At 37.2% G+C, this 9903-nt stretch overlaps 1 long non-coding RNA gene across 2 annotated transcripts; it reads left to right on the forward strand.

Moving 5' to 3' along the window:
- The first annotated feature begins 2838 nt into the window (after positions 1 to 2838).
- LOC105377269 (uncharacterized) lies at positions 2839 to 9383 on the forward strand. Of its 2 annotated transcripts, XR_001741715.2 has the most exons (3): positions 2839 to 2914; positions 3592 to 3612; positions 9221 to 9383. It is a non-coding gene; the product is annotated as an uncharacterized LOC105377269 (long non-coding RNA). The 2 variants fall into 2 exon arrangements; XR_938858.2 differs by lacking the exon at positions 3592 to 3612.
- Positions 9384 to 9903: the final 520 nt, after the last annotated feature.

The raw sequence follows: 9903 nt of genomic DNA on the forward strand, positions 1-9903 counted from the left end.
AAGAATAGGCCAACTCAAACAGGTAGTCCAACATGAGTCAGCGAGTTTGGAGCACAGGCACACAACTCTAACCATTATGTAACCTGTTTGTGTAAGCTCATACTTGGCTCTGAGCCACTATTTTCTTTAAGGAGTATAACTGTCCTGCCAGAAATGGGGAGAGAGAGAGAGTAAAGCTGCTGATGCTGTGAAGAGTGCTGCTGCTGCTAATGTGCCTGCATGCATAAGACAGCCAGCCAACTTGGAGGCAGACAGGAGAGATCAAGGAAGTGTCATGCACTCCAGAGAGTGCAGCTGCAGTTGTGGCGGCAGCAGAAGCTGCAGAGCTGCTGCTGGAACAGGAGAGAGAGAGTAAAACTGCTGATACTGTGCACAGGGCTCTCAGAGAGAGAGAATAAGGCCATGTCCCAGCTACCTACCCTCCCCCAGGTGTTCTTTCAGCTACCCACTACCCCTCCAACCACTCCCCTCGGACCTCAGCTCGGGCTATAACCTGACAGATTTCTTTCAGGCCTGTTATTATACCTGATGTGATGCTATTCTAGAGTCAGATTGGAATTTGGTATTTTATTGTTACAGACTGCTTTGTCAGTCTTGAGATCTCTGTTTTAATCGTAATGCAGGTCAGTTTTGCCTGAATTCCAGAAGGACAGGAGTGTAATGGGGTATGTCTGACCGACCCATTTTCCTATTATGGCCAGAATTACTTTTTCAGGTTTACTTTGGAATGCCCTTGACCTAAAGGAGGGATCCATTCAGTTGGTTGGGGGGACTCTTAGAATTTTATTTTTGGTTTACAAGTGTCAGCAGGTAATGTTTTTATTTTTTACTTCACATTTTTTCCCTACTCCTTGTCAATATATATCTGAGCTCTGTCTCCAGGCTTATACCAATTGATGGCAATTGCCTTTACCTGGTCACTTTCTCAATATTGAAGTAGTAAATCAGTTGTTGGTAGGCCACTGACACAAGAAACACCTGGAGTAGACAGACGTAGCAGGATGCACCTGCACCCCAGAAAGGGATATTCCAGGAGGGACCCAAAACACTGTTCTGGGGCACAGCCTAAGGGCTTCCTATGGAGAAATTAGTATTCACACTTTAACTCTCCTTCAATTTGGAGTAATCTGAGACTCAGAGGCCATATATGGCTAGCAACTGTAACCTTAGAAAGGCTATACATTTTAGCTCTACCAGAATATTTTTTGCTTATTTATCTGCCTGCCCCCCTATGGACATTAAAAGCTCTGATAATGAAGGTTTTAACTTATTTAATTCTTAATAAATTCCTATATTGGGTAAATTAGGCCTTTATTTCTTATTTTATTATTATTATTTTTGAGACAGAGTCTCGCTCTGTTGCCCAGGCTGGAGTACAGTGGCGCAATCTCGGCTCACTGCAAGCTCCACCTCCCGAGTTCACGCCATTCTCCTACCTCAGCCTCCCGAGCAGCTGGGACTACAGGTGCCCGCCACCACACCTGGCTAATTTTTTGTATTTTTAGTAGACATGGGGTTTCACCGTGTTAGCCAGGATGGTCTTGATCTTCTGACCTCGTGATCCGCCTGCCTCGGTCTCCCAAAGTGCTGGGATTACAGGCATGAGCCACTGCGCCCAGCCTAGGCCTTTATTTCTAAGTAGGAGTGGTTTCCAGTAACTGTCAGAAGTATTTTGAAAAGTGTTTTGTTGCAAACACTGACGTGTCAGTGAAGTAAACTTGCTTCTTATTTTCCTTCCAAAAGGAATTTAAGAAATAATTTGGGTTGATTATTGTGAAATGGGAGTGTTCCCAGACCCCCCCTTGCAAGACCTGTGACAGGTGTGTCTGTTCAGCCACCACGCCTGCTCAAACCTCTTACAGAAGGGGAAGCATGCAGATGGGCAGGTACAACAGCCAGAGCAAGCGCTTTAGGGCTCCAGCCCCATGGTAGCATCTACGGGTGGGTGCCCATGACTCCCAAAGCCCAGGTGGGTGTGTATTACAGTGCACTCTTTTAGCTTTGCCATCTGTAGATGGCTTAAGTGTTAACCTCCTCAGTGCCCTCTTGGTACCCTGGTCCTTGTCCGGCACCCAAGAAGAATCAGGTTGCACACAGATGAATAAGGGGGTTTTATTGAATGGTGGAGGTGGTTCTCAGTGGGATGGGTGAGGAGCTGGAAAAGGGATGGGGAGTGGGAAGATGATCTTCCCCTAGAGTTTGGCCATCCAGTGGCTGATCTCCTCTCTGATCATCCCCAGCCGAATTCCTCTCAGCGTTCACGTGCTGTTTCTTTGCCATGCCATTCTGCCATTCTTCTGCTCTTCTGTTCCTCTACTCATCTGCTTCTGGAGCTTGGGGTCTGGGGTTTATATGGATACAGGATAGGGGGGCATGGTGGGCCAAAAGGCAACTTTTGGGCATAAAAACAGGAATGCCTGTTCTCATTTAGGGCTATGGGTTTCCAGGCTTGAGGGTGGGGCCTTTGCAGAGGAACCACTCTCTTCTACCTAGTATTTCCCTGTCTCCTGTTTGTATCAGTAGTTTTTCATTTAAATAAAATTAATTTGATTTTATCTAGTGCTTTGGGGTCTGTGTGTTTTTGTAACATAAGTATTTTTTATTCTTAACAGAAAGTTGACCTGACTAAAGAAGGAAAGCAGTACCTAAACCAGCTTGCAAAATTAAACCATAAGTTCTATTTATGGGATCAAGTCTGAGGACAAATAATGTATTTTAAAATCTATTATGTGGGTTTTCAAACTTATAGTACACAAAGAATCACCTGGAGATAGTGTTAAAATGCAGGTCTGGTGTATCACCAAGATTCTGAGTCAGCAAGTTTGGCAAGAGGGATTCACAATTTGAGTTTTAACAGGCACCAGTTGATGCTGATTCTGATGGTCTCATGTGGCACCCTCAGAGGAACAATAGAGTAAGTTTTACAACTTATTTGAACTTTACAAATGATTTTCTGATATTCATTTCTACGTAAGTTGAATTATCTAATCAGCTGCAAACAGCTGATAATTATCCACTGCAGATAATTATTTAATTATTTATAGAAGAAAGTAAAAGAACTATATAAATGATGATTTATAGAAAAATCATTTGAAATAATGAGTTTAATTTTATTATGTGAGTTGTTATTCATTAGAGAACTTGTAAATTTGTGATAAAAGAAATATTCCTATATTTCTTCATAACAGTGTGAACAAAATAAACAGAGGAAAACACACAGGTGGTCTCTATTAGTTTATAGTAGCTTTTGAGCTACTATAAACATATTCATATAAAAAACAAATGCAAAGTTTCACTTTTTAGTTTTTACTCCCTTATCTATGGTGATGAATTTTCCCTGCCTTTCACATACAAATGAAATACGAATCAAAGTGAACTGATATTTAAACACAGGACATTAACTATAGAAATACCTACTGTTAACTCACTTTAAAGATGTTATGAACTAAAAATAGCAGCTTAATGTATCATTTACCTATAATTTTGTCTCCATTCTGTTTAATCATAATTGTGGCTAAGTGTATTTTTATACTCAATCTTGAATTATAAAATTAAGATAGAAACTATTCTCTCACTTTCTTTTTCTTCAAGAGAGCTGATACATCCAAAGAGGTAAGACACTTTCATTCACTGGAAAACTGGATAATAAAACATGTATTGAACTTTTAATAGTTTCTTAATTTTTCAAAGAAATGTCATGGGTAAAGAAGAAAATTCTATGTAAGTATTTTCCTGATGATGTTGTGGAGTCTAAACATGTTTTATTCTCCTGGAAGAATCAATACTTACTTCTGAAATATGTGCATATTATGTATGGCTAATGTTGCACATTGATTGCATTTATTTACAGTACACTGACAAAAGTCTCAAATGTCTTGTAGAATTTAGATGGAAATTCGTAATACCAGTCTGAGGAAGATAATTATTCTCTGAGAACTTAGGTTAACATTGCCTGGTGAATAATTCCATTGGCCTAAAAAATGGTTCAATTTCAATTCTATTAAGTATAATATATAACCTACCATGCATAGATGCTGGCAATCACATACCTAATAGAGTAAGTTCCCACCTTCTCATTTTTGGATGGTGATAAAGTCATTAAACTGGCTATCATATGTAAGATAGAAAATTTTATTTATTTTAACATATTTCTTAATGGGTGTATGCTTGATGTCTCATATTATTTTGAACTGTCATATCAATGTGATAGGATTTTTAAAATTATCCTTACTAATACAATAAATATATTGTTAAATATGGCACTGTATTAGTCAGGGTTCTCCACAGGGACAGAACTATAGGATATGTGTATATATGAAAGGGAGTTTATTAGGGAGAATTGACTCACACAATCACAAGGTGAAGTCCTATGATATGCCATCTGCAAGCTGAGGGGCAAGGAAGCCAGCAGTGGCTCTGTCTCAGTGGCTTCAAAAGCCACAAAAGTAGGGAAGCTGATGGTGCAGCCTTCAGTCTGTGACCAAAGGCCCAAGAGCCCCTGGCAAACCACTGGAGTAAGTCCAACAGTCCAAAGGCTGAAGAACCTGGAGTCCGATATTCAAGGACAGGAAGCATTCAACATGGGAGAAAGATGAAAGCTGGAAGACTCAGCCATCCAGATTAGTTCACCTTCTTCCCCCTGCTTTTGCTAGCTAAGAGGCAACCAACTGGATGGTGCCCATTCACACTGAGGGTGGGTCTTCCTCTCCCAGTCCACTGACCCAAATGTTAATCTCCTCTGGCAAAATCCTCACAGATGCACCCAGAAACAGTACTTTGCATCCTTCAATTCATTCAAGTTGACACTTAATATTAACCATCACAAGCACCCAATACAAAGATGCACAAAGAAAGAAGGTAGCTACTCGTGTTAACAGAAGAGAGTATTAAAGAATGTAGGAGTAGTGGCATGGAGAATCTCCACCTCCCCATAATACCCAAGGGTGGACAAAGTAGTAGCTAAAGGTATTATTTTTAAGAAGACTTCAGCCCAGTTTGGACTGATTGCCTGTAATCAGTGTTCCCACATGTATAATAAAACCACAAACTCTAACAAACAGTGAAAATGTAAATGCTTTATCTTTTTTTTTAATCTTCTTTTAACCATTTGTGTTTTAGAAAAGGGACAATATCACTAATAGTTCAAGTGATTATGTACATTATATAGAAGATACTAACAACTTTAACAATCTAAGCTTTTAAGAACAACAATTGTGAAACCTTTGCATGGTCATTGTCTGAATTCCCTGCAATTTTCTATCTTCTTTTGTGTGTATCCAGGGGAGGTATCACTAATATAATACATATTTATAGTATCAGCTGTATCCAGCATACCCAACGTATTATCCTTATTCCTATCCATATGCTTACAATGCATCTTAGTAAACACAGGACATAATTACAAAGGTAAGCTAAGTCTAGTGACATGTTTTTACGATCCAGAAATATCAATGCTGACAGTTAAAAGAGGAAAAACAAGCACAAAGCATAAAACCAACAGCAGTTCCAGTCTAAAAATTGTAGTCTTCTGAAACCCCTTGAGATGTATTCATTTATTTAAGTGCTTCTGAGATAAAGCCTCTGTCCCACTATGGTTAAAAAAGTCTGGGCTCTGTGGAGAAGAGACCCTATCTTGGCCCTGACAACTACTGTTGTTAACTGTTGTTGTTTTTAAACCTCAGTTTTATCATCAACAAAATATGTATTAATATAATACTTAAGAACTTTAGAGAATTGGTGACGCTTCTGAAAGATATGTGACATAAAATCTCTTGATCAGAAAAATGTATAGTTTTGATTGCAGGGTTTTCTGCCACTAAATCTGTCCCTGGATGTGGTTTAAATTTTGTGCCCCAAAATGTAATCTTTGGAAAAGCTGCATAAGCACCATCTGTAACACGTGAGAAATTTACATGTTATGGCCTAAGTAACTCTAATAAGCAATTGCCACGGGAACTAACGTAATACTAACAAGGGAATATAAAAATATTATCAATTTCCATTTTAGAAAGTGAGTTTTATCTTTCTGTGTACAAAATTAGTTGTTCCGAATTCTATGAGAGATTAAATATTTCACTACAAAATAAAGCAAACTTTTGGAGATAAAAGAGGACTGTTCTGAAATTCAACGTTGAAATGGTTCATAAGATTGCAATTATTTTTCAGAGCATTTGGGAGATTGTATTCCAATAGGATTCCCTGTATCCATTAATGATATGGGAAGGAGACTGAACTTGATCCCCTAGGCATTAGATAATAGCTAATGACATTTAATCGAGAAAGGATATATTACAAAATTATTTTGGGAAGTTAAATATGAATGCAATACTTAAGCTGTATGTAAGTCAGAGAATAAAAGATGATGACGGAAAAACAAAAGAAATTTACATTAGAATTGCAGACAGTGGATAATAACTTTTGTTTATTCAGATACTCATTTAATGAGTATTTAATTGTCTCCTGTGTGTCAAATGCTATTTTGGGTGCTGCATTATATTAACTAAAATTATCTATAAATATCTACTCTGCACCAGGCCAGAACCTACATGTATTTACAGGAAGAAACATTTTACAGGCAATCTGTTATTTTCTTTTTCTGTACATATTTCAGTGGCAAATCCAGTTTCTACATGTGTATTTTCATCCCTGATGCCACATCACGCTACCACCAGTTCTTGCAAAATTGACAGAAAGGCAATGTGAAATAAAACAAAGGCCATAATACTTGCCTTCTTAGTTGACCTTTGATTAGATAGTTCTAATATCAAACTGCTAAACTGGTTTTACTGCTGTTCCGAGTAATAAAAAACTATTCTTTTCATAAAAGTAATGGATATCAGCACATTTTTATGTATGTGCTCTTTATTTCTATTTTTGTGTATTTCAGACATAAAACATTTCTTTCGTCACTTTGTTTTTCAAGTTTCAGTAGAACTGACTGAAGCACCTTGTATCAGAGGTCCTGCGAAGTCACATATTTCTCATTTGGTCTGTCATCTTATATCTAACCAACATATGGACTTCAAGCGCAGCTAGATTATTGCACGTATTTACTCTAACATTTGATTTGCTCCTGGATTCCTTTGTCACAGCACATATGCTAAGCCTCCAAAGTCCTCACTTTTCTTATCTCAGTCCCTGCAGACCAGAAGATAACCCCCATGTCACTCCATAGCTTTAGGCAAGAATTCAGAACACAACAATGTTCTCCATGAGTTTGTCAGCAATTACTTTCCTTCATTTATACATTGAGTGACACTCGATGGCCTGACAAGGCCCTCTTTAGATACTGCACATGCAGCAAGGTCTAAGAGAGATGAAAGTTGGCCTTCAGGCAGTTTACACTGTAGTTGGGAGATAGAAACAACAAGTGAAAAAATAATACATAGTATCTCAAGTAATCATAAGTGTGCTAAAGATGAAGAAGGCAGGACTAAGGCAAAGAGGCAATTTAAAATAGGATGGTCAAGAAAAGCTTCTCTGGCACAGTGGCATTTTAGAAAACATATGAAGTGCTTATGTTCATAAGTTAGCATGAAAAAAAAAATCCAGCAGAAGAAATAGCAGGGCTGCATTCTACTGTGGTAGAAATACATTTATTGCGTTTGGGAAAACTCTAATGAAAACAGCATGAATAGAGAAGGAAAGATGTGGATTAAAATAAACTATATTACAGAAAAGAGGTGAGGAGATGATTGAAGCGCCATAGGTCAAAGATAGCCTTTGGATTGAGATAAATGCCATTGGATCAGGCATTGATCTGATTTATATTTTGGAAGGGAGGCAAGGGTTGAAGCATAGATCCCTTACTTTGGCATTACAGAACCCTGCTGGCCCTTAATAGTTTTACATCCTTTTGTTCTACCTGTTCATTCTTTTTTTCCATATTCTCCTAACCTACAACTTAATATTTATGATTTAGTACATACTTTCAATAACTCAAACAACTCCAGTGAAGTCTGAATTTGATTAATTATATTTGCTAAAATCTCAATCCTACTAATTGTTAAATCTTCTTACACTGCATCTCTACCAAGAAAACGCAAATGTACAAAGAAAAGAATTTATTTTATGTTTTATAAATGTGGCATACAATGTTGCTAAGCAAATAATATTCTTGTATTTAGTTTTATAGCTCTCACCCTTTCCCTTCAATAAAATGTCCAAATGTATCATTAAGTTTTCTGAAATATCCAACTCATCTTACCTTGTAGTCAGTTCCAGAAAACAATCTACTCTGAATTAAAAACTGAGCCCATTTGATCTAACCCATTTAAGCTCTCTACTTTCACTTGTTTATAAATTAATCTATACTTGACCAGATTTGTAACTCTCTGCAACATCTTGATCATTGACATGATTCTAATGTTTTTCCAGAGATATATTCCTGTTGTTCCTGGTTTTGTATTTCCTCCTTTATACTTGGAGAATTTTAAAAATTAAGATGTTCTTTTTCATGAAGATTATGATGATGAAAATTATAATAATGATAGAATCTAATATTTGCATTTGAGTCATTTTAATTTACAATGTGATTTTTATATACTCTCCTTTAAGTTTCACGTATTACTGTAACATTTTATAAATAAGAAAATTTTAGTTTAAAGACATAAAGCAAACTAAGCAACCTATAAGGTCACTGCAACATGGTAATTAACATTTCCTTCCTGATGTTTCATCCTCTTGGCTTCCACAACATACAAACAGCCGAGAAATACCTCTTCTGCTATTCTTTTCCATCACAGATTTTTTTCATAGACTTTCTATTTTCTCTTACACATTACATCAGTGCTCAGCAGGATATCTGTCCTCAGCCTATTCTCTTCTGACTCTACACATCTTGATTGTATAAGCTGTAATAATCTCATAGTTTGATTACAATCAATAAGATGATAAGTGCCCAATCTGCAACTCCATTGTTGACCTTCTTCTCCCAATTTTAGACTCATGTTTTCCTGGGTTTCTCTGTCTTAGCCTTTATCCTTGTCTGATTCACAAATTATACTGTAAACTCCTTAAGAACAAGAGTAAAGCTTCTCATGTCATGTCTCCAGAATAAACAACATTCTATCTATCTAGTAGATTATCATATGTTGTTCAGCATTTGTCAATCATATATGTCATTTTAGTAATTCAAACAGGAACATAATATAACATTTTTAGTTAAATAAATAAATATCATGGATATTGGTCATAAATGGTTTCATGTTTCCATCATAAGAGAATTGCAGAATAAGGAGAAGGAGGAGCAGCAACTGGAGCAGCAGGAAGACAAGGAGGATGAAGAGGAAGAGGAGAAGGAGACGGCAGTAAAGAAGATAGAGAAGCAAGATTGAGGAGAGCCCAGCATAAACATCACTACAAATACCCATTCATGGGTTGTATCCTTAAGCAAAAATTGTATTGCCTCACCTGTGATAAAGCAGTAGTTCTTTGTTGATGTTTCCTTTGTAACGAAAGGTCATGACATTTTCAAAGAGAACAGTGTTTGGCATAGAGGATAAGATATCTGTTTTCTTTAATTATAAAATATGAAGTCATGTTCTGGTTCATCAGTCTTCTAAATTGGTCTGCTCTTCCTGGAGGGTGGGACCATAACTAACACGAGAAGGTCACTCCTTTGTTTCTAGTCTGCTATCCTTGTTTGACCTATCATACATAATCCCCACACTTCCTAACTTGGGGAAGCAGAAAATGATGGGTGGACTAATGCCTACATGTTGGTATTCCAACATAACATGTAGATGAGTTAAGTTTAACTGTAATTTTAAAGTGTGTATATTAAGATGTATCAATATTTCTTACCATGTAGTTTGCTGTTTGTTAGTGCCTTTGGGCTATTAGTTTGCTTTATGTTCACTAGAACATGAATACCTTAGATCTACTAGAACAGTACCTAGTATT

The sequence above is a fragment of the Homo sapiens genome, chromosome 4 (assembly GCF_000001405.40).
Source record: "Homo sapiens chromosome 4, GRCh38.p14 Primary Assembly".
NCBI classification, from domain to species: domain Eukaryota; kingdom Metazoa; phylum Chordata; class Mammalia; order Primates; family Hominidae; genus Homo; species Homo sapiens.